Genomic DNA, 24,786 nt, shown 5'->3' with positions numbered 1-24,786 from the left:
GAGCCAAGATTGTGCCACTGCACTCCAGCCTGGACGACAGAGCAAGACTCTGTCTCAAAACAAAAAAAAGGGATTCTAAATCAGTTATTCATTCTATGATAGTCACAGGAGAGGTCCACCTTAAGTAGTAGCCATACAAAAAGAAATCAAGGTGAGGATTATTCATACTAGGAAAAGTATAAGTGCACATCCACCAGGGCCTTTCGACTCCAAGGAGCAGGAGTCAGAACCCAGGAGGTACTTTTAAACGCTTTATCTCAGCTATATAACAAAGCCTAAGGCTTTAGGGAATTTTCCTCCAAAAGTTCCCTCTTTGTGGTCTGTGGTTTCTTAGACCTTTTTTTTTTTGGCAACATTCCAATCAAATAACTAGAGTAGAATAGATACACAGATATTACTTTTTATTTTTATTTTTATTTATTTATTTTTTGAGACAGTCTCGCTCTGTCACCCAGGCTGGAGTGCAGTGGCGTGATCTCCGCTCACTGCAAGCTCCACCTCCCGGGTTCACGCCATTCTCCTGCCTCAGCCTCCCGAATAGCTGGGAATACAGGCGCCCGCCACCACACCTGGCTAATTTTTTGTATTTTTAGTAGAGACGAGGTTTCACCATGTTAGCCAGGATGGTCTCTATCTCCTGACCGCATGATCCGCCTGCCTCAGCCTCCCACAGTGCTGGGATTACAGGTGTAAGCCACTGCTCCCGGCCTAGATACTACTTTTTAAAAATGTAAGGCTCCTTTTAATGTGAACCTGTTCATAATTTTAAATCAGGCAGAACTGTTCATAATAGACCTTCGGCATGTCAGAAGAGGCCAAGATCTCACCTCTGTATTTTACTCAGAGATTTAAAATAAACACATGTAAGTTCATGTTATGATCCCCAATTCAACCAAGTGCAGAGTTTTTTTTTTAACAATTTTATGATTTATTGAAGCAAAAAACCTTGCTTTTTCTAGAAATCTTTAATCATTTCATAAGCTTTATGCCTGAAAATAGGAAAAATATTTCAATTCCTATAGTGTCACAAAAGTAGAGAAACACTGATGACTTGACCAAATTCAGGATATATGGTCAGTCTAAAATAGTGAAAATGAATTACAAATATTATTTAAATGCAGATTTTCATTACTCTAAAATACACACACAAAATAACTACCAGCATTGGCAACAGAGATACTAAGCATCCTCTTTACAAATAAACAGTTGTTTTAAAATTCTTGTTGAAACCCCATCAAAAAGTGGGCAAAGGATATGAACAGACACTTCTCAAAAGAAGACATTTATGCAGCCAAAAGACACGTGAAAAAATGCTCATCATCACTGGCCGTCAGAAATGCAAATCAAAACCACAATGAGATACCATCTCACACCAGTTAGAATGGCGATCATTAAAAAGTCAGGAAACAACAGGTGCTGGAGAGGATGTGGAGAAATAGGAACACTTTTACACTGTTGGTGGGACTGTAAACTAGTTCAGCCATTGTGGAAGACAATGTGGCAATTCCTCAGAGATCTAGATCTAGAAATACCATTTGACCCAGCCATCCCATTACTGGGTATATATGCAAAGGATTATAAATCATGCGGCTATAAAGACACATGAACACGTGTTTTTATTGCGGCACTATTCACAATAGCAAAGACTTGGAACCAACCCAAATGTCCAACAATGATAGACTGGATTAAGAAAATGTGGCACATATACGCCATGGAATACTGTGCAGCCATAAAAAATGATGAGTTCATGCCCTTTGTAGGGACGTGGATGAAGCTGGAAACCATCATTCTCAGCAAACTATCACAAGGACAAAAAACCAAACACCGCATGTTCTCACTCATAGGTGGGAATTGAACAATGAGAACACATGAACACAGGAAGGGGAACATCACACACCAGGGCCTGTTGTGGGGTGGGGGGAGCGGGGAGGGATAGCATTAGGAGATATACCTAATGTAAATGACAAGTTAATGGGTGCAGCTCACCAACATAGCACATGTGTACATATGTAACAAACCTGCACGTTGTGCACATGTACCCTAGAACTTAAAGTATAATAAAAAAATATATATATATATACATATATGTATATAAAGAAGTGAAACTCCTGACTACTCTGGGCACACTGCTTATGGGGTAGCCCTGCTGCACAAGGAGCAGTAAAAAATAATAATAATAAAATTTTTTAATTAAAAATTTAAAAAAACAACTCTTGTTTAAGTGAATAAACCTATGCTGTCTTCTGTAAACTACTAATTTTCTAAGAAAAAAATTCCCCTTTGAAGGACTGCTGCTTTCCAACAGCCTGTTATGAATAACACAAGCATTCATAGTGAGTTATGATGAATAACGCAAGCATTCATCATCTTACGTCGAAGTAGACAAGTGTGGTTTCCACATCAGAATATTCTAAAGCCAAACCTTCCTCTTTCTTCTTTTCTCTACTCTCTAACTCCTATTTTCAATTCTGCTTACCTTGATCTTAGATTCTGTTTCCTGCTTAATACTAAAGTCTTTGATAGTGAATTACTATATGATTTGCCAGTATTTGGTTGTGGTTCTATATCTGTCCTACTCATTCCTTTATGCTTCTGATTGATCTCTAATTCATGATAACATTACTCAGCAATTTGAACTTTCTTAGTGTCATTCATTATCCTGAAGAATCCCAAAATGTATCATGTTAGTGTATCAGTAAAGTTATACAACAAACATTCACAATGAAACTCGTTTAAATGAGAAGGCATCCTTCTTGTACACAGCATAGAGTCGTTTTTTATAAGCCAATTTGAAAATCCTTTTCTTTCAATAGGCAAGGTTTTTTTTTCCTCAAGTAGCAGTCTCTTCTATTTAGAACATTTAAATTGCCTAGCAATCTTGACTAACATTCTATTTGTTATAATTCTTTATGGAATATCTCCCTACCTACTACTTACTTCCTAAAAAACGATAGCACGAAGCATATTAAGGTAGATATGTTCTATCGTTAATTGTAGTTTTGACAGGTGGCATCTCAGTAATCAAAAGGAAGAAAATGTGAGTGAAATAAAAATGAATTCCGTTTAATAAAAACTGTTAAGCTCAGGGTTTTTTTAAATTTTTAGAGACTTTATGCTTACAATCATGAATTAATGTAAAAATGATAAGCAGCGTGTTACATGATCTTCCTCTTCCCATCACTTTAGTGGTCCTCACCCACATCTATTTTGTTTTGTTTTTTAGAGAATGAAGATTTTGATTCATGAATTTGACTCATTGTTTTTCTTTTTTCTATCTTAATTTCTGCTTTTGCATTTATTATTTCCTACTTGTGCTTTCTTTTAGTTCACCCATTTTTCTATGTTTTTGTGTTAGACACTTAATGAATTTACTTTTATTATTTCATTTTTATTGATGTAGGTGTCCAGGGCTGGGAATTTTCATCTTTTTACTATTTTAATGTATGTCACAGATTGATATGTACTATTTTCATTATTATTTTTCAGAAATTATTTAATTTCAGCTTGTGTTTCCCTTATCACACAAGAGTTGTTTAATAGAAGGCCTTTTAATTTCCAGGTAGAAAGACCTTTTTAATTTGGAGATTTTGATTTTAATTTTTAGCTTTATTATACTGTGACCAGAAGGTGTTGTTTGTAACATTTCTACTTTATGGAAACCTACTTTATGGAACCTACTGATTTGTGCCCTAGAATATGACTGATTTTTGTGAATGTTTCATGTGCCCTTGGAGAGGAAAGTATATTGTCTGTTATCAAAGTATAGTGTTTAATATATAGCCAAAAGGTCTACCTTAGTGATTAGTTCTTCTAAATCTTTTATATCTCTACTTATTTTTTGTCCACTTGGCCTGTCTCATACTAATTGTCCGTTAAAGCCTCCCATTATTACTGCGTTTGCAGTTCTTACCGTATCTTCTGTGGATTTATGCTTTATCCAAGTGATTGCTGTGTTATATGGTACATATCTTTATTGTGCAATGTGGCTTTTAACTTCAAGTGCACTGCAATTTGTTTTAGTTAATGCTCTCTGGCTTGAAGACAACTTAGTCTGGTATTAGGATTTTAACCCGTGCTTTCTTGTTGTTTTCATTTGCCTGGCAATTTTTGTTCATCCTTTTATTTTTAGTCTTTTTGAATCTCTGCGTGTGTTTTTAGGCATACTTTTTTGTACATAGCAGGGTTGTTTTTTTTAAAGTCAATTTGAAAATCCTTTTCTTCCAATAGGCAAGTTAAGTCCTCTTACATTAATCAACATGACTGTTTGGTCTAAATTCTGTGGTATTTTTTTCACATCATTCTATTATCTTGTGGGTGTAATTACTGAATGTGTTATATTTGCTAGAGTTTCTTTATTTGGTGTTTCTTCTTTATGTTTCCATTTAAAATTCTTTGTCATTTAAGAAGGTTTGTATTTTTACTCTAGTGGTTACTTTTGTACTTATGCTTTTTATAGTGCACTTTTAAACCTGCTTTTTCTTACTTGACCTTTTACTTTTTCTCAGTTTTAAGTGGTGTCCTTTGACTGCTGTCTATTCCATTTTAAGTCAATGGTCTTTTACTTTCCACTTTTCTCCCTCTTCCTTCCGTTTTTAGTTACATTTATTCTCCTTTGTCATGCACATAATATTTATATCGCTATTCAGTGCCATTACCTCACCTTTGTTTTTCTCAACTCTATAATTGAGTATTTAAATATTCACCATCAGTCCCCTTGCAGTTTTCCCGGTCTTGTTTTTTAAATGTTTGTCTTTATCCTTTTTTTCCAAATTTACTTTTAAAAATTTAGAACCTACACAAAACCTTGAAGATCTTCACCAGTTGTAGACACTGCCACATTTTACAGTGGTCTTCTGGGTGAATGAGGCTCATCTTCTCTAGTAGAATCCTCAGCAGAGGCACACGGCACAGTGTCCCGGTACAGTCAAAACTGCTTTTTTGTGGCTTCAAACCTTTTGAGGGACATCTTGGCTGGCTGTAATATCCTTGGTTTGTCCTTTCTTTCCCTTCTTGAAAGTACTACTACACTCTTGCCTTACTGTGTGTATTGTTTTTTAATAACCTGGTGCCAGTCTAATCTTCTTGCCTTTGTAAATTATTTCATCTTTTTTGCCTGGACACACTGAGGATTTTTTCATTATCTTTAAAGTCTTAATATTGTATTACTAGTGTATGTCTCAGAGTTTATCATTCTTGATCACTTTTCCCTGATATGGAAAATGTGTAGATTCGGGTCTTTATTTCTAGAAAATTTTCTTGGATTATAGTTTTAAATAGTAGTTCTGTTTCATGTTTTTCCTTTAGGAAACCCAGTTGTATTATATTCAACCTCATTTACCTGTCTTCAATTTCAGTCCTCTCTCACTCCTTTTTTTTGTCTTCTTTTCTTCCTTTTTGTGGAGAATGGGGTCTTGCCCTGTTGCCCAGGCAGTTCTTGAACTCCGGGGTTCAAGCTATCCTCCTGCTTCTGCATCTCTAAGTGCTGGGATTACAGGCATGAGCCACCACACCCAGCTCTCACCCTTTTTACTTCTTTATTTTATTTTTTATTCTCATGGTGGCTTTCCTGATTTTCTTCAGTGCCTTTATTAAATTTTTATTACAACCTGTCATCGCTTGTGTACTTTGTGATTCAGTCTTTATTTCTGATATAGTTTTGTTTTTTATTTCTCTGTCTTTCCTAACTTTAATCAACTCTCATTTCATCTCTTCCTGTTTGTTTGTTTGTTTGCTTGTTTTGTTTCTTGTCCATTTTTATTCTTTGGCTTTACATTTCTAATTCAGGGGTGATTTTTCATACCCTAAATTCTTGTTTGAGCCTACTGGGTTCAGTTTGGAGTATTATGTTTCAGTTTTCTTTGGCTTCATGTTTGTTGTTTGTGGGAGAGACTTTTCATCAGCAGAAAAGATTGTATTCATGTTTTCTGACATTTTGCAGTAGATATAGTCTGCTTTTATCTATTCCTATTCATTTTGTGGACAAGGGTCCTACTTTGAGACTGCCTTCTGCCATGCACTTTCTTTATGGGTAGTGGTGTTGGGTGGGAAGGATGGAAGAAGGGTGGTATATCTAGCTTGTGTTTTGCTTCTGCTGGTTCCTTGGTGTTCCTCTCTCATTTCCTTCTTTCCCTTGACTGCCATGTCCCTAGGGGAGACCATTTTTTCTCTCTGTATCTCATTCACCCCAAGAAACCCTGCTTCTCTGAGGCCGCTACTTCTTCAAACCCTTACCCCATTGTCAGGGCTATGGACTATCAAGTTCCAACCTGTGCTTAATATTTTGGCCTTTACTTTTTCACCTCTGGGGATGAATTTATCTGTACTTTTTCTGTCTTCTGCTTACCTCTTCCCTCCCATTTTCTGTACCCCTAGGCTTGTAGTGTTGGTAGGTGGGCTGCGGGAATTGTTTTGGAAAAAGATTTCCCTGTACTTGCAGATTATTTGAAGGTTGTGGTACTCTCTGTCTTCCAGTGATGCTAGGGGTGTGGAGTGCCTGGTTGATTTTATGGTTATTTGGGAAGATGTGAGGAAGATTTGAAATCAGACCACCACCATTGTTCTCCACATTTAGAATTCTCCTCTTAGCTTAAATGAAAATTGTGAGCACTATTTGACATCAGAGAAGTTCTTCAACTTTTATTAGTGACTTCCATTTTGATGATTTGTGGTTTTTGCTAAGGAGATATTTTCTTCCATTATTTGATGGTGTAACCTTATGAGAAACCTCTACAATAATTAGTTTCTTATTTTCAGGTTGTCTTTAATAATGTACTTGGCTATTAAAATCAATAATTTTCACCATAAGATTGTATTCACTTATTAATTTTATGTAATATAATGTATTTCTGTATAAATAATTATTTTTCTGGAGAAGAAATTATTACTAAATTTCAATGTTAAAAAGTCAGTTCCTGTTCTTCTATGAACTTTTTTCACATAGTACCTTGTTAATAAAGATTGAATCTCTGTCTTTCATAGACAGGAACCAAAAGAACCAAAGAGGGAACCATTCATACTTCAAGATCTCTAATAAGAAGTAGCAATATTTAATATGGAATCAAAAGCTTGGGAATCAAATAATGAAGATCTTTTATCAAGTAGTGGTGTCACATCTAATGGAGGTATGTGCTGTTTATAAAACAAAATGGGGAAAAAATAGAATTAACCATGATATTCATTCAAGCTGCTGTTTCTAGTATGTTTTATTTTTAACCATGTGGGTTACAGACCATGATCATGAATGTCTACCATATTGTTTATAATTCTACTTTTTGAAGAAGAGATTCCTTTGTCTTTTAAGGAATTTTTTGTTTTAAAAATGTTTCTACATTGAAGTACTTCAGCCTCAACATGCCCCATGCCTCCCTAATGCCTTCTCTTCCTCCTGTGTCTTCCTAGCCTGCCTTCCTTGGTCTGCCCTAAGTCAGAATTTTGTATCATTTCATTCTTTTTCCTCACCTGCTGCTACATCCAGTCAGGTACTGAGGCCCTGCTGATTTTACCTTTGAAATGTCTCTTGAATCCATTTTTTCCCTCTCCATTTCCATTACTGGTGTTCTGGTTCAGGCCCCCATCACCTCTGATCCAAATTATTTCAATCAAAGGTGATTCCTATGTCAGGAAAACAGACACAGATGGAATAAATAGTTGGAATTTAATACAAGGAATGGTTACATAGGTGTTGAAAGAGCTGCAAAGCCTAAAGGGATGAAACAACACAGAAATTACCAACTGCAAGAAGCTGCTACCAACCATGCCTTTGGCTAGAAGGACAATGAGAAAAGCAGCTGTTGCAAGGGCATGGAAGCTAGAGGTAGAACCACGGAGAGGGCTGCCTGGAAGGAGCTGAAGCCACCACCAACTACCAGATCCTCATCTGAGACAGTGAGAGGACCATGACCTTGGCTTCCCCTCTTCTGCTGCCTCCAGCTCTTCTGCGAGCTCTTCCCATTGCAAACCTATGTGGAAGAGAACTAGAAAGGGAACCTACAACACTCAACAGAGAAGGGGAAGGACAGAGAATGCATTCAAGGGCAATCAGGCAAATGACCTGCACTTTCCCTTCCTTGCCCCTCTCTCCTCATTCTTTTTTTCTTTTCAATTTAATGGTCTATCTCAGAAGCCAGATTCATATAAGTTTTTTCTAGTAGAAATTCAGGTTCAGAATAGGATAATCACAGATGTAACTCATTCTTTTAGTGCATGCAGAGGTTATTCTCAGTTACTGATCTGTTGTTTTACTGGTCTGCTTAAAAACGTTTCTTTCAGCACCATTATTGTATAAACATTTCTGCTTCTCACTATGCTCATATATCCTAAAATGCCATTGTCATCTCCACCTTACCACACCCATCTCCCCTGCCCACCTCCACTTGCTCACTTCCTACATAGCCACATCCTCATACTCATTATTGGCACTGGCACTTAGATCACGGGTTGTCCCTCCCTGCTTAGGTGCATCGTCATCCTGTAATACTGTCCTCATAGGTGACCCATCTGAGATCTTAGACTTACAGCTTTTTGACCTCTTAAATTCTTATTATTTTAACCTTTACTCTAGTTACCCACTCCCTTATTTTGGATCTTATTACCAAGAACTGATAGACTTCTGAAATTCAACCTCCTGTCTTTTATTTTTTAACATAAACTCAAGATTTTATTGTCTTCATAATAAAACAAAAGATGACACTGATAACTGGATTGCTTGGCCGTTTCTCTTCATATCTCAAGCCAGTTCAAGGGCTTGCTTCTCTTAGTTGCCAGCGTTCTCTTAGATCTGCAGCTGGGTTCAATGCACTCAAGGCCTCAGCACAATCTTGATCGTTTTAGTCTTTTTCCAGAAAATTGACTTAGTCTGCCTACCATAGCCACTCTGCTTCCTGTCATCATGCTGCTTTCTCTGGGCATACAGAGAATCCTTGCCCTTCTTGTACTGTGTCACTTTGTGGAGTTGGTGCTTGCCACACTTTTTATAGAAAGTCTGATGGGTGTTTGGGAACATTCACCATGCTTGTGGGAGTGCTACTGGCGAAGAAGTTTGTTTTTCTTTTAAGCTCCTATCTTTCAACCATCTCACTCCTTTATTCCTAGAGTACACCTATTTTCTGCACATGAAGGTAGTGTACCCATATCAAAAATCACTTTTTGAGATTTTAAACACTTAAATGGCTTAGATCCACACCTTGAGACTCTGATTCAGTAGGTCTAGAGTGGAGCTCAGGCACCGCTGGGTTTTTTTTAAAGCTCCCCAGGTGATCCTGATTTATAACAAAGGTTGGGAACAACTGCTTTAGGTTCTGCCATTTTCTCCAAAATTATCAACCTCTTTCTATCTTCACTTTCTTTTGTATCATTCCTTATTTCAGCCAGTCACTTGCCAGTATTCTCAACTTCCTTTCCCCTTTATTATTCTCTTGCACTCTTACAGGAAAAACCAAATCCTTATCAGGCTGACTGCCTTCCCTGTTATTCAATGGGCTGCTGCAAGATTTTGAATTTGCTAGGGAAAATACACAAATGTGGATTTTCCACTTCAAAGTCAGTCTCTTATCTCAATTGGATGCTGCTAAGAAATCTTTCTCATGATCTTAGCCAGATATCTTTCCAGTTTTCCATAATACTTATTTCAAAATCACACCATTCTTTTTTTTGGGGGGGTGGTGGGTGGGTAGTGCAGAGGAAGGAGTATGAGTTTTTTTTTTTACTATTATACTTTAAGTTCTAGGGTACATGTGCACACCGTGCAGGTTTGTTACATATGTATACATGTGCCATGTTGGTGTGCTGCACCCATTAACTCGTCATTTACATTAGGTATATCTCCTAATGCTATCACTCCCCCCTCCCCCCACCCCACAACAGGCCCCGGTATGTGATGTTCCCCACCCTGTGTCCAAGTGTTCTCGTTGTTCAATTCCCATCTACGAGTAAGAACATGCGGTGTTTGGTTTTCTGTCCTTGCGATAGTTTGCTCAGAATAATGGTTTCCAGCTTCATCCATGTCTCTACAAAAGACATGAACTCATCCTTTTTTATGGCTGCATAGTATTCCATGGTGTATATGTGCCACATTTTCTTAATCCAGTCTGTCATTGATGGATATTTGGGTTGGTTCCAAGTCTTTGCTATTGTGAATAGTGCCGCAATAAACATACGAAAATCACACCATTCTTAACTCCCTTCCCCTGTCTTCTGTCTCACTCTCAGATAACATTATTTCCTAATTTCTAGAGAAAATAGAAGCCCTATGCTGGTCCTCTCTTTTCTCCTCATATCCTATGCTGAAGGCCCACTATTTTTCACAGTCCATGCCTCCTTCTCCCATAGCTCAATGGAAGAGTCAGCTTCTTAATTCACTACCCATGCATTTCTTCTCACCCCCCACTGTCAACTCCTCTGCCCCTTCAGAGATCTGGCTCAGAAATCACCCTGCTCATTCATATCTTCAGCCTTTTTCTCTCCGTTTGAACCTTTCCATCAATAAAAACATGCCAAGTCTCTCCCAATCTGAAAACACTAACAAATACATATAACACACAAACCAAAATGACAAAAACCCTTTTCCCCAAACTATCCCTTCCTGATCTCTCCTTCATAGCTGTGCCTTCTGAAAGAAAAATCTGTATTCCCTACCTACGTTTTCTCACCATCCATTCACTCTACAAGCTATTATCTTACAGCTTTTGCTCCCAGTATTCCAGTGAAATCACTCTGGCCAATGTAGCCAGATTCCCCCTCTGCTAAGTCCAATGGACAGCTTTTTATTTATTTATTTTTAAATTTAATTTAATTTAATTTTAAGTTCTGGGATGCATGTGCAGGATATGCAGGTGTGTTGCATAGGTAAATGTGTGCCATCGTGGTTTGCCGCACCTATCAACCCATCACCTAGGTATTAAGCCCGTATGCATTAGCCATGTATCCTGATGCTCTCCCTCCTTCTGCAACCCAATAGGCCCCAGTGTGTGTTGTTCCCCTCCCAGCTTTTTATTTGAAATTTTCTGAAGTTGTAGAAAAATGGAAAGAACAATACAGTGAACATCTTATATACCCTCCAGCTGGATTCACCAGCTGTCCACATTTTGTCATATTTGCTTTATCTCTATACCTATAATATGTATCTTATTTTGCCAGACCATTTGAAAATTAGTTGAAAGCATCATGATTCTTGCTTTAAAACCTGAATGTGCATCTCCTAAGAATAAGGATGATTTTCTCAAATCACATTATTATATCTAAGATAAATACTGTCAATACAGTATTATCTAATGTGTTCATATTTAAATTTCTCCAGTTGTCCTCCCAAAAAGTCTTAGGTATTTTTACTAATCTAGGAGCAAATCAAAGATCATGAATTGTATTTGGTTGTTTGTTCTCCTTATTCTCTTTAAATTTATAACCATTCGCTCTCTCTCTCTCTCTGTATGTTTCTCATGGCATTGGCTTTAAGAGTTCAGACCAGTTATTATAGAATGTATCATAGAATGTCCCCATTCTAGAATTTTAAAAATTGTTTCTCATGTTCAGATTTAGATTATACTCATTTGACAAGAGTTTTACATAAGTTATGTATACTTTTTTTTTTTTTTTTTTGAGACAGAGTCTCGCTTTGTTGCCCAGGCTGGAGTGCATTGGCATGATCTCAGCTCACTGCCACCTCTGCTTTCCGGGTTCAAATGATTCTCATGCCTCAGTCTCCCAAGTAGCTGGATTACAGGCACACACCACCACACCTGGCTAATTTTTTGTATTTTCAGTAGAGATGGGATTTCATCGTGTTGCCCAGGCTGGTCTTGAACTCCTGAGCTCAGGCAGTCCACCTGCCTTGGCCTCCCAAAGTGCTAGGATTACAGCCATGAGCCACCACGCCCGGCCAAGTGATATATACTTTTACAGCCTACACCAGGGAACACATAATGCCACATCCCACTAATTGAAAGTTACATTTCCCCCTTTATAATTAATATGTAATCTATAGTGTATCTTTTGAAACCTTGTGAATATCCTGCTACTAAATAATCCTTCATCCAGTGGCTTTAGCATCAACTAAAGATCTGTGCCTAAATCAATTGTTACATTGATGATTTTCTAATTTTATCATAGTTATTAGCTGACATTCTTCAGGAATAAAACAGCTTTCCCTATTATCATTATAGAACCATCTTTTGTTTTTTTAATTCAAAGTGCTATGATGCATTGCTGTCACTACTGTTTTTGATTCTCAGTTGTATGAAATTTGACCAGCTCCTTAAACTGGCTCCTGTGTCTTTTTAAAGGCATGGCCCCAATTTTTTGCTCTCTGACACATCAAAACGTTTCAGGCTCACCTTGTATTTTGCCTGTTCCCTCAGACCTGGATTCAACTATCTTGCTAGGAAGCCCTTGTTCCTTTTAGGAGGGAATCATATTTAGAAATCAAGGTCTGGCATGCATATTGCTACTGAGGTGCCATTGTGTCTAGGACCTTTCAGTGGCTAAAGCTTGGAAGTCGATTTTTAAAAATCATAAGTTAGAAGCACTGATAACTCAAATTCAAATCCAATACCATAGAGTTCTTCCTTATCATTCATATTTGTGTCTTTCCTACAGTGAAAACACTAATTTCCAAAGACTTCAGTACATTTATTCATTTTCTCTCTTCTACAATACACATGAACTAGTTTCAGAATTATAACAATACTACCAACATTAACAACTTACTAAGTAACTAAGGCTGGCTGTACAGTGTTCTAATGTTAACACTGTGTTCTAATGTTATTTGAAGGAACAATCTTCTTTTCTCTGTGAGGTGGTTATTAGTTTCCTTATTTACTTAGGTTTACTTGTTTCTGTTAGTATTTAATTTATTTTCATTTTGTTTTTAATTTTATTTTTGAATACATCTAACATTTATATGGCTCAGAAATAAAAACTTTGTAAACTGTGTGCTCTAAATAGAGTCTTGCTCCCATCCCTATCTGCACCACTCTGTTTCCACCTATCCCTATACCCCATAGATAACTGCATTTATGAGTTTCTGTTTTATTCTTCCAGGTGGGTTTTTTTTTTCCAAAATTAAGCAAATGCTACAAACACACATAAACACATACACTCTTCCTTCTCCTTTCTTACAAAGAGGAGGGAAATTAACCTCTACCTCCTCAAGGGAAGAATATCGAAGAATTTTTGGACATATTTTAAAACCACCACCAGTTTGCCCCCGATCACAAATTATTTACATTTCACTCACATGCAAATTACATTCACCTTCTCCCAAGAAGGCCCCCAGCAGTCTCATCCTGCTACAGCATCAGCTTAAGGCCAAAATTGCTTTATCCTTTCACATGCGTATTTTCCCCTTGAGACCTTGAGCTTCTTCGGGGTTCAATAAGGGAATCAGTTAGCATAAAGTGTGCACAAAATTATTTTATGAAAAAGTTAATTAATGGGCCAGGCGTGGTGGCTCATGCCTGTAATCCCAGCACTTTGGGAGGCCGAGGTGGGCAGCTCACCTGAGGTCAGGAGGTCAGGAGTACGAGACCAGACCATGGTTTCACCATGGCTAACATGGTGAAACCCCGTTTCTACTAAAAATACAAAAAATTAGCCCGGCATGGTGGCACGCTCCTGTAATCCCAGCTACTCAGGAGGCTGAGGCAGGAGAATTGCTTGAACCCGGGAGGCAGAGGTTGCAGTGAGCAAGATCGCGCCATTGCACTCCAGCCTGGGCAATAACAGTGAAACTCCTTCTCAAAAAAAACGAAAAGTTAATTAATGAATTCTTTAATATTTAGGTTCTTCAAGTTCATTTTTTGTGTCATCTATTCGTGGTACAATAATTGAAAACACATCTTCAGCTGGGACTTTGACACAGGTTCCTTTTTTCCCTAAATATGAAGTGGAACTTGATTCTCCTAGAAAAATCATCCCATCTCCTGGAAAGGAACACTTTGAACGTGTTTTGGAAGAATATTCACATCAAGTCAAAGATTTACAGAGAAGACTAAATGAAGTGAGTTGCCTTCTCTTCTAGCACCTGATGCTATTTGGGGGACAACAGTGAGATCCAGTATGTAGTTGTAAAGCCAGTTATACAACTTCCTGGAAGAAAAAACTAACAAATGGGTTTATTGGTTAAATTTGTTAATTTGACCTGTGCCTTCTATTTTCGGTATTAAAATTGGGCTAATGAAAAGTCTACATATTTATTTTTCTTTTTTAAATAATTATTCAAAACATCTTGGTTTCATGATATAAATTTTAATGAAACTTGAATAACTCAAAATTATAATAAGTAGCATTTGTCTGCATTTATAGTTAATAATTGGCATAGACCTGCTGTCCTGCTATCATGATACCTGATTTCTCTTTACAAAGCAATGGTAGAGGGTAGGTTTTTAGATATGTGTGTATACATTATAGCTAAATAGCATCTAGAAGTTATTTGCTAAAAATTTCAAGTGGACATTACGTAGAATCAAACTGGCTTTACAATTGCATATTTGGTCCCAGTAGTTAACAGTCTAAAAGTCAAACTCATTACTGCCACATACAAAGCTCTTCATGCTCTAACCTCTCCCTGGTACATTTTAGCCTCATATGCTACCCATTCTCCATTGGTACCTATTCTGGTAGTATCAGGCCACTTGCTCTTCCCTAGATATACTGCGCTATTCCAGACCTGCATGCCTTTGCCCAGGCCATTTTCTCTTCTCTACCTTGTCTGCCTGGCAAACTCTTATTATGCACCAAGACTCAGCCCATGCATTTTCTTCTCTGAAGCCTTTCCTCTAGATGACATTAGGTGTGCTCTCCTCTGTACAGTTACTGCCATTTGTGCACATTTATTGCAGTATTTAGTACATCTAATTTTACTCATTACCACATTGTTCTACCTCATCAGATTGTGTGAGCACTTTTAGGAAAAAAAAATCTACAATTTTATTAAGTGTTGAAAATTATGTACCCCAGTATGCACAGGGATACAAAAATGAATAAGGTAGGACTTACAAGGAATTCATAGTCTGGGAGGGGAGCTTGTCATATAAACAGTGGCATTACCTATGATAAATACACTAATGAAGTTGTATATATAGACAAACGAAGCACAGAGGCACTAATGAGGAGAAGAAACAGTGTCTTAATTTGTTTTCTATGTTTATCCCCTAACAGAGTATATGACACTTAATTGGCCTTCAATAAATAAGTGTTAAATCAGTAAATTTCCCTTCTTGTGTAGGTTTTTGTTTTTACTGGGGTTCCTAATTGCCTTTTTCCTTACACTATTTGCCTTTACATATCCTTATTAGAAAAAAACATATCATATAGATTTTCTATATCCTCCTTTGACCCAGGACACTCCAAGTGTCTTCTGACCTTTTGCTCAGTCTAGATTAGTTTCTCTTAGGTATCTTGTATAACTCTTTTCCAAAGACTCCTGCCACTACTTTCCAGGTTGGATCCATGGTTTCCAGGAATCACTGTTTTCTATCTTCTTTCTTTTTTTTTAATTAAACAAAAAGGTATATATATTTATGGAGTACATGAGCTATTTTGGTACAGGCATGCAATGTGTAAAAAAATCACATAATGAAAAATTGGGTTTCCATCCTCTCAAGCATTTATACTTCATGTTACAAACAATCCAATTATATTCTTTTAGTTATTTGAAAATGTACAATTAAATTATTATTGACTATAGTCACCCTGTTGTGCTATCAAATACTAGGTCTTATTCGTTGTATTTTTTTTGTACCCATTAACCATCCCCACTTCTCCTTCACTCCCCCACTACCCTTCCCACCCTCTGGTAACCATCCCTCTACTCTCTATCTCCATGAGTTCAATTGTTTTGATTTTTAGATCCCACAAATAAGCAAGAACATGTGATGTCTGCCTTTCTGTGCCTGGCTTATTTCACTTAACATAATGACCTCCAGTTCCATCCATGTTGTTGCAAATGACAGTATGTCATTCTTTATTATGGCAAACAGTACTCCACTGTTTATAAGTACCACATTTTCTATATCCATTCATCTGTGGATAGACACTTAGGTTGCTTCCAAATCTTGGCTATTGTGAACAGTCTGCAACAAACATGGGAGTGCAGATACCTCTTTGGTATATTGATTTCCTTTTTGGGGAGTATATACCCAACAGTGGGATTGCTGGATCATACGGTAGCTCTATTTTTAGTTTTTTGAGAGACCTCCAAACTGTTCTTTATAGTGGCTGTACTAATTCACATTCCCACCAATAGTGTACAAGGGTTCCTTTTTCTCCATATCCTTGCCAGCATTCGTTATTGCCTAACTTTTGGATAAAAACCATTTTAACTGGGGTGAGTTGATATCTCATTGTAGTTCAGATTTGCATTTCTCTAATGATCAGTGATGTTGAGCACTTTCTCATATGCCTATATGCCATTTGTATTTCTTCTTTTGAGAAATGTCTATTCAAATCATTTGCCTATTTTTAATCAGATTACTAGATTTTTTCCTATAGAGTTGTTTGAGCTCCTTATATATTCTGGTAATTAATCCCTTGTCAAATGAGTAGTTTGCAAGTATTTCTTCCCATTCTGTGGGTTTTCTCTTCACTTTGTTGATTGTTTCCTTTGTTGTGTAGAAGCTTTCTAACTTGTGATCCCATTTGTCCATTTTTGCATTGGTTGCTTGTGCATGTAGGGTATTACTCGAGAAATTTTTGCCCAGATCAGTGCCTGAGAAGTTGACCCCAATGTTTTCTCATAGAGTTTCATAGTTTGAGGTCTTAGATATAAGTCTTTAACCCATTTTGATTTAATTTTTAAATATGGTGAGAGATAGGGATCTAGTTTCATTCCTCTGCATATGGATATCCAGTTTTCCCAGTACCATTTATTGAAAAGACTGTCTTTTCCCTAATATATGTTCTTGGCACCTTTGTTGAAAATGAATTCACTGTATGTGAGTGGATTCATTTCTGGGTTCTCTATTCTATTCTATTGTTCTATGTGTTTGTTTTTATGCCAGTACCATGCTGTTCTGGTTACTGTAGCTCTGTAGTGTAATTTGAAGTCAGGTAATGTGATTCCCCCAGTTTTATTCTTTTTGTTGAGGATAGCTTTGGCCATTCTGTGTCTTTTGTGATTCCATATGAATTTTAAGATTGTTTTTTCTATTTCTGTGAAGAATGTCATTAGTATTTTTATAGGGATTGCATTGAATCTGTAGATTGCTTTGGATTGTATGGACATTTTAACAGTATTGATTTTTCTAATCAATGAACATGGGATATCTTTCTGATTTTTAGTGTCCTCTTCCATTTCTTTCATCAGCATTTTATAGTTTTCATTGTTGAGGTCTTTCACTTCTTTGGTTAATTCCTAGTATTTCATTTTATTTGTGGAACTTGTAATGGGATTACTTTTTTGATTTCTTTTTCAGATTGCTCACTGTTGGCATATAGAAATGCTATTGATTTTTATATGTTAACTTTGTATCCTGCAACTTGACTGAATTTGCTTATTAGTTCTAACATTTTTTTTGGTGGAGTCTTTAGGTTTTTCCAAATATAAGATTATATCATCTGGAAACAAGGATATTTTGACTTCTTCCATTCCAATTTGGATGTCCTTTCTTTCTTTCTCTATGTGATTGCTCAAGCTAGGACTTCCAGTACTATGTTGAATAACAATGGTGAAAGTGGGTATCTTTGTCATGTTCCAGATCTTACAGGAAAGGCTTTCAATTTTTCTCCCTTCAGTATGATACTAGCTGTGGTTCTGTCATATATGACTTTTATTATGTTGATCTTGTAAGTGTGCTTCATTATTTTCTATTCTATACCCATTTTTTTTGAGTTTTGTCCTGAAAAGATGTTTAACTTTATCAAATGCTTTTTCAGCCTCAATTGAAATAATCATATGGTTTTTGTTTTTCATTCTGTTGATATGATGTATCACATTGATTGATTTACATATGTTTAACCATCCTTGCATCCCAGGGATAAATCCCACTTAGTCATGATATATGATCTTTTTAATGTATTGCTGAATTCAGCTTGCTAGTATTTTGTTAAGGATTTCTGCATCAGTATTCATCAGAGATACTGACCTGTAGTTTTCTTTTTTTGATGTGTCTTTGTCTGGTTTTGGTATCAGGGTAATAACTGCCATCATAGAATGAGTTTGGAAGAAGTTCTTCTTCCTCTATGTTTTTGGAACAGTTGAGTATAATTGGTGTTACTTCTTTAAATGTTTGGTATTCAGCAGTGAAGCCATCAGGTCCTGGGCTTTTCTTTACTGGGACTTGTTCAGGTTTTAGATTTCTTCAGGGTTCAATCCTGGTAAGTTGAATGTGTCTAGGAATTTGTCCTTTTCTTCTAGATGTTTCCAGTTCATTGGCATGTAATCACTCATAGTAGCCACAAATTATCCTTTGAATTTATGCAGTATCAGTTGTAATGTATCCTTTTTTTGTCTCTGATTTTATTTATTTGGGTCTTCTCTCTTTTTTTCTTAGTCTTGCTAAAGGTTTGTCAATTTTGTTTATCTTCTCAAAAAACCAACATTCTGTTTCATTGATCTTTTGTATTTTTTTCATTTTATTTCTGCTCTGATCTTTATTATTTCTTTTCTTGTACTAATTTTGGGTTCAGTTTGCTCTTGCTTTTCTAGTTCTTTAAAATACATCATTTAAATTGTTTATTTGCAGTTTTTCTTCTTTTTTGAAGTAGGCACTTAATAGCTATATATTTCCCTCTTTGTACTGCTTTCACTGTATACCATAGGTTTTGGGATGTTGTGTTTCCATTATCATATGTTTCAATACAATTTTAAATGTCCTTCTTAATTTCTTCATTGACTCACTGGTCATTTAGGAGCATATTGTTTAATTTCTGTGTATTTGTATGGTTTCCAAAATTCCCCTTGTTATTGATTTGTAGTTTTATTCCATTGTTGTCAGAGAAGATGGTTGATATTATTTCAGGTTTTCTTGAATGTTTTAAGACTTGTTTTATGACCTAATGTATAGTCTCTCCTTGAGAATCATCCATGTGCTGAGGAATGTATTCTGCCCAGAACATTCCTGTGTCTATTCCTGTGTGTATACAAGGCTGTGTATTCTTCAGCCTTTGGATGAAATGTTCTGTAAATATCTATTGGCTCCATTTGGTCTATAGTACAGATTAGGTTTTATGTTTCTTTGTTGATTTTCTGTCTGAATGATCTATCCAGTCCTGAAAGTGGGGTGTTGATGTCTCTAGCTATTGTTGTATTGAGGCTTATCTCTCTTTTATTTCTGATAATATTTGCTTTATATATCTGGGTGCTGCAGTCATGGCTCCATAGGTATTTTAAATTGTTACATCCTCTTACTGAATTGACCCATTTATCATTATATTGTGACTTCTTTGTCTCTTCTTATGGTTTTTGTCTTTAAATCTATTTTGTCTGATATAAGTATAGCTACATCTGCTCTTTTTTGGTTTCCATTGGCATGGAATATCTTTTTCCATCCCTTTATTTTCAGGCTATGTGTGTCTTTGTAGGTGTAGTGTGTTTCTTGTTGGCAACAGATCATTGAGTCTTGTTTTTTAATCCATTCAACCACTCTATGTCTTTTGATTAGACAATTTAGTCCATTTATGTTCAATGTTGTTATTGATGACTAAGGACTTACTCCTGCCATTTTTGTTATTTGTTTTCTGGTTGTTTTGTGGTCTTCACTTCCTTCTTTTTTTCCTTCCTGTATTCCTCCTAGTGAAGGTGATTTTTCTCTGGTGGTATGCTTTGATTTCTTTATTTTTAAGCCAGTCAAATTTAGCAGTTGGTTTTATACCAACTCTAGTGACACTAATGTTAATAAGTTCTGATAACCCACTACCATGCTTTGATTTCTTGCTTTTATTTTCTGCGTATCTGTTGTATGTTTTTTTACCTTTGAGGTTACCATGAGGCTTGCAATACTCTCTTATAAACCATTATCTTAAAACCATCACTTAAAAAGTGATGACAGTTTAACACTGATTGCATAAACAAACAAATGTACGAAAACCAAACTAATACAAACTCTACACTTTGACTTTGTGCCCCCACTATTTAACTTTTAGTTGTTTCTCTTTGAATCTTATTGTACTATCTATGGCTTGAAAAGTTATTATTACTTTTGATTGGTTTATCATTTAGCCTTTCTACTTAAGAGAAGTTTACACACCACAATTACAGTGTTATATTGTTCTGTGTGCTTACTATTACCAATGAGTTTTGTACCTTTGGATGATTTATTCTTGCTTATTAATATCCTTCTCTTTCAGAATGAAGAACTCCCTTTAGCATTTCTTGTAGGATGGGTCTGGTCTGGTGTTGATGAAATTCCTCATCTTTTGTTTTCTAGAAAAGTGTTTATTTTTCCTTCATGTTTGAAGGATATTTTCACCAGATATACTATTCTACAGTAGATGGTTTTTTTCTTTCAGCACTTTAAATATGTCATGCCACTCTCTCCTGGCCTGTAAGGTTTCCACTGAAAAGCCTGCTGCCAGATGTATTGGAGCTCCATTGTATGTTATTTGTTTCTTTTCTCTTGCTGCTTTCAGGATCCTTTATCCTTGGCCTTTGGGAGTTTGATTATTAATTGCCTTGAGATAGTCTTCTTTGAGTTAAATCTGCTGATGTTCTGTAACCTTCTTGTAGTTGAATGTTGGTATTTTTCTCTAGGTTTGGGAAGTTCTCTGATATTTTCCCTTTGAATAAACTTTCTACCCCTATCTTCTTCTCTAACTCCCTTTTAAGGCCAGTAACTTAGATTTGCCCTTTTGAGGCTATTTTCTAGAGCTTTAGGTGTGCTTCATTGTTTTCTTTTCTTTTTTCTTTTGTTTCCTCTGACTGTATATTTTCAAATACCCTGTCTTCTCACTAATTCTTTCTTCTGCTTGATCATTTCTGATATTAAGAGAATCTGATGCATTCTTCAATACAGCAATTGCATTTTTCAATTCTAATATTTCTGCTTGATTCTTTCTAATTATTTTAATCTCTTTGTTAAATTTATCTGATAGAATTCTGAATTCTTTCTCTGAGTTGTCTTTAATTTCCTTGAATTTCCTCAAAACAGATATTTTGAATTATCTGTCTGAAAAGTCATATATCTCTGTTTTTTCATAATTGGTCCCTGGTACCTTACTTAGTTCATTTAGTGAGGTCATGTTTTCCTGGATGGTGTTGATGCTTGTAGATGTACTTTGGTGTCTGGGCATTGAAGTTAGTTATTTGTGGTAGTCTTCACAGTTGAGCTTATTTGTGCCTGTTCTTCTCGGGAAGGCTTTCCAGGTATTCAAAACCCCAAGCCCAATAATGCTATGGTTTTTGCAGACTCATAGGGATACTGCCTTGGTGGTCTTGGATAAGATCTGGAAGAATTCTCTGGATTACCAGGCAGACACTCTTGTTCTTTTCCCTTACCTTTCTCTCAAACATATGGAGTCTCTCTCTCTCTCTCTGTGCTGAGCCACGTGGAACTGGGGGTGTGGTTATGCAAGCACTCCTGTGGCTGCCACCACTGGGAATGTGATGGGTCAGACCTGAAGTCAGCACTGCCCTGAGTCTTGTCCAAGGTCCTTCCCTTCAGGGTGATAAGATCCCCTAGGCCCTGTGCATGTCTGGACATGCTGTCCAGGAGCCAGGGATTGGAGTCAAATACCTTAGGAGTTTACCTTATGTTCTTTTCTACTGCGGCTAAGCTGACTCAAACCACAATACAAAGTCTGTCCCATTCTTTCCTCCCCTTTCCAAAGGCAGAGGAGCTTCTCCCTGTGGCTACCACCACCACTAGTCCATGGGGTTTCTGCCAGGCCACCACTGATGTTCACTTAAAGCCAAGGGCTCTTTGATCAGCTTGTGGTGAATGTTGCCAGGCCTGGAACTCACCCTTTAGGGCACTAGGTTCCCTTCTGACACAGGGCAGGTCCAGAAATGCTGCCCTGCCCAGGTCCCAATGCATAGTCCTGGACTTAGAGACTCCAAGAGCCTGCTTGTTGCTCTACCCGACTGTGGCTGAGCTGGTACCTAGGGTGTAAGACAAAGTCTTCTTTACTTTTCCCTCTGCTTTTCTCAAACAGAAGGAGTCTTTCACTGTAGCCACCATAGCTGGGAATGTGCTAGGTCACCCCGGAAGCCAGCACATCTCAGAGCCCAAGGCCCAAAGCATACTCTCAGGGTATCACTGCTGGTTATTCAGGGCCCAAGAGCTCTTTATTTTTATTATGTTTACTTTTATTATTTTTTGAGATGGAGTTATGTTCTGTCACCCAGGCTGGAGTGCAGTGGTGCCATCTCAGCTCACTGCAACCTCTCCCTCCCGGGTTCAAATGATTCTCCTGCCTCAGCCCCCTAAGTAGCTGGGACTACAGGCATGTGCCACCATGCCTGGCTAATTTTTTTGTTTTGTTTGGTTTGATTTTTTTTTTTTTTTTTTTAGTTGTAGTCTGTCTCTGTCGCCCAGGCTGGAGTGCAGTGGTGCGATCTCAGCTCACTACAACCTCTGCCTCCCAGGTGCAAATGATTCTCCTGCCTCAGCCTCCTGAGTAGCTGGGATTACAGGCGCGCACCACCACGCCCGGCTAATTTTTGTATTTTTAGTAGAGATGGGGTTTCACCATCTTGGTCAGGCTGGTCTCAAACTCCTGACCTCATGATCCGCCCACTTCAGCCTCCCAAAGTGCTGGGACTACAGGCGTGAGCTACCGCACCCAGCCTATTTTTTTTGTATTTTTAGTAGAGACAGGGTTTCACCATGTTGGTCAGGCTGGTCTCGAACTCCTGAGCTCAAATGATCTGCCTACCTCAGCTTCTCAAAGTGCTGGAATTACAGGCATGAGCCACCATGCCTGGTCCCCAAGGACTCTTTAGTCAGCAGGTAATGAACGATTCCAGGACTGTGTTCTTCCCTTCAAGGCAATGGGTTCCCTTTTGGCCCAGGGTGTATCTTGAATTATTGTCTGGGAGGTAGGGCTTGGAATGGGGGCCTCATGACTCTGCCCACTGCCCTACCCTACTGTGGCTGAACTGGTACCTAACATGCAAGACAAAGTCCTTTTTACGCTTTGCTCTCCCCTCGTCAAACAGAAGGAAGGAGGCACTTTTGTTGTTGCAAGCTACACCGTCTGGGGTTGGGAAAGGGATGGTGCAAGCACTCTCTTAGCCACACCAGCTTGGGTCTCCTTAGGTCACATGCCACCCTAGTTTACTGGCTCTAAGCCCAGCCTAGCACTAGGAATTGCCTAAGAATTGCAGTCCTTGTGTCCTAGGCTGCCTTTCAAGTTTACCTAGGACCCCAGCGCATTTCAGCATGTGGTGGTGAGGCTTGCTGAGAAACTCGAGTTCTGACCACTGAAATGGACCATTCCCCTCTGGCTAGGGCTGGTCCAAATGCTCCCTCTAAGCTCAGCATGGCTTGATTCTCCCCTCTGACGGGGCAGCACTGAGTTAAATATAAAACCCCCCAGTTGCTGTGCTCTCCCTGCCCTATGCAGATTCTCTGCACAGCCACTGCTGGGGGATGGTGGAAGGGGTGGCATTGGAGATTCAAGACTGTCTCTCCTGCCCTCCTCAATGCCTCTTTCCACCATATGAATTAAAACCAGATAATATTTTTAATGGTGGAGGGTGTCCAGGTTCTTGGCATCTTGAACAAAGAATTGGACAAAACACACAAACAAAGCAAGGAAGGAATGAAGGGATTTATTGAAAATGAAAGTACACTACACAGTGTGGGAGCAGGCCTGAGCATAGGAACTCAAAAGCCCCATTACTGAATTTTTGGGAGTTTAAATACTCCCTAGAGGATTCCATTGGTTACTTGGGGGTATGCCCTATGTAAATGGGGAGAATGAAATAAAGTTACAAAGTCATTTACAGCCTACACCCTAAGGAGAGGATATTTCCTGTCACAGCTGAAGTGTGAATCAGCCTTATGTTCCCTGCCTCCAGACCCTATTTTCCTGCCTCACTATTTTTCACTTGACTTTCGTGTTCTTATGATGGTGCTCTTCTGTGTGCAGATAGTTTTTAAAATTTGGTGTTCCCATCGAGGATGGCAGGGGTTAGGGAATGAATGGTGTAGGCTTCTATTCCGCCATCTTGCTCTGCCTCCAGCCTCTCCTGTCTTCTTTCTCGATCTGCTTCTTCATTTAGTCAAAACACATCTTTGTTAAATTCTTAAGAAAGAGATATATTTTATGCATCTTTGCATGTCTGAGAATGACTCTATTTTACACTCGTACTTCATTGATAATTGGCTCGGTAAAGTTGAAAGTAATTTCTCTCAATCTTTTGAAGATACTGTGCTTTTGCATTCAGTATCGCTACTGAGAAGATGTCTGTCTGGTTCTTGTTCCTTTGTAGATGATTTTTTATTTTTTACTTACTTGAATTTCATCTTTAACATCTTTTCTTTGTCTCTGAAATGCCACCATAATGTACTTAGATATGAATTTTTGTTTTTTTTCATTCACCTTGCTAGGGACTCAGTAGACCTGTTCGTCTGTAGATGTGTGCCTTTCAGTTTGGAGGAATTCAGTTGCGTTTTTTTCTTTGGCCGTTTCCTTTCTTCTGTTTTTTCAGTTCTGTCTTTCCAAAGTTCCTGTTGGAAACATATTTTCACCTCGGTTAAATCTCTACATCTCTTACTTTTTGTTTCAAAAATTTGTCTACTTTTTCTACCTTTGGAGGAAATTTCTTGACTTGCAACATTTCTATTGAATTGAACTTTTTTCTTTACAACCATATTTTTAATTTTCGTGACCCTTTCTCCCCTGATCACTTAT

The 24,786-nt window shown here is 37.7% G+C and overlaps 1 protein-coding gene, 1 non-coding gene and 1 pseudogene across 16 annotated transcripts in view, besides 1 other annotated feature; 1 reads left to right on the top strand and 2 right to left on the bottom strand.

Annotated features, from left to right (window-relative positions):
- CCDC158 (coiled-coil domain containing 158) overlaps positions 1-24,786 on the top strand; it is a 108,831-nt gene that overhangs the window by 11,611 nt on the left and 72,434 nt on the right. For 12 of the 15 annotated variants that reach the window (XR_938729.3, XR_938730.3, XM_011531911.2 and 9 more), the window contains 2 exons: positions 6,979-7,121; positions 13,773-13,990. Coding sequence is in view for 13 of the 15 variants with exons in the window: in XM_011531911.2 (XP_011530213.1) it covers positions 7,052-7,121; positions 13,773-13,990 (288 nt within the window). In the remaining 2 variants the exon portion in view is untranslated. Of the gene's footprint in view, positions 1-2,942; positions 3,038-6,978; positions 7,122-13,772; positions 13,991-24,786 lie in introns of those variants that run through there. The other 3 variants (XM_011531913.1, NM_001042784.1, XM_011531917.2) reach the window with 3 other exon arrangements.
- On the bottom strand, positions 8,113-8,183 carry LOC124900891 (small nucleolar RNA SNORD50). The gene has a single exon (XR_007058526.1). It is a non-coding gene; the product is annotated as a small nucleolar RNA SNORD50 (small nucleolar RNA).
- RPL36AP18 (ribosomal protein L36a pseudogene 18) lies at positions 8,640-9,035 on the bottom strand (annotated as a pseudogene).
- Positions 21,382-21,881: an enhancer, noted in NCBI's record as "H3K27ac hESC enhancer chr4:77309531-77310030 (GRCh37/hg19 assembly coordinates)". NCBI's record gives its function as "activates a minimal SCP1, AML or CMV promoter by ChIP-STARR-seq in primed H9 embryonic stem cells {active_cell/tissue: H9 hESC(primed)}" and the evidence as "EXISTENCE:reporter gene assay evidence [ECO:0000049][PMID:30033119]".

Source organism: Homo sapiens, chromosome 4 (assembly GCF_000001405.40).
Source record: "Homo sapiens chromosome 4, GRCh38.p14 Primary Assembly".
Lineage (NCBI taxonomy): Eukaryota > Metazoa > Chordata > Mammalia > Primates > Hominidae > Homo > Homo sapiens.
Note: the sequence above shows the minus strand (reverse complement) of the source record. Positions and strands in the feature narration are given on the sequence as shown.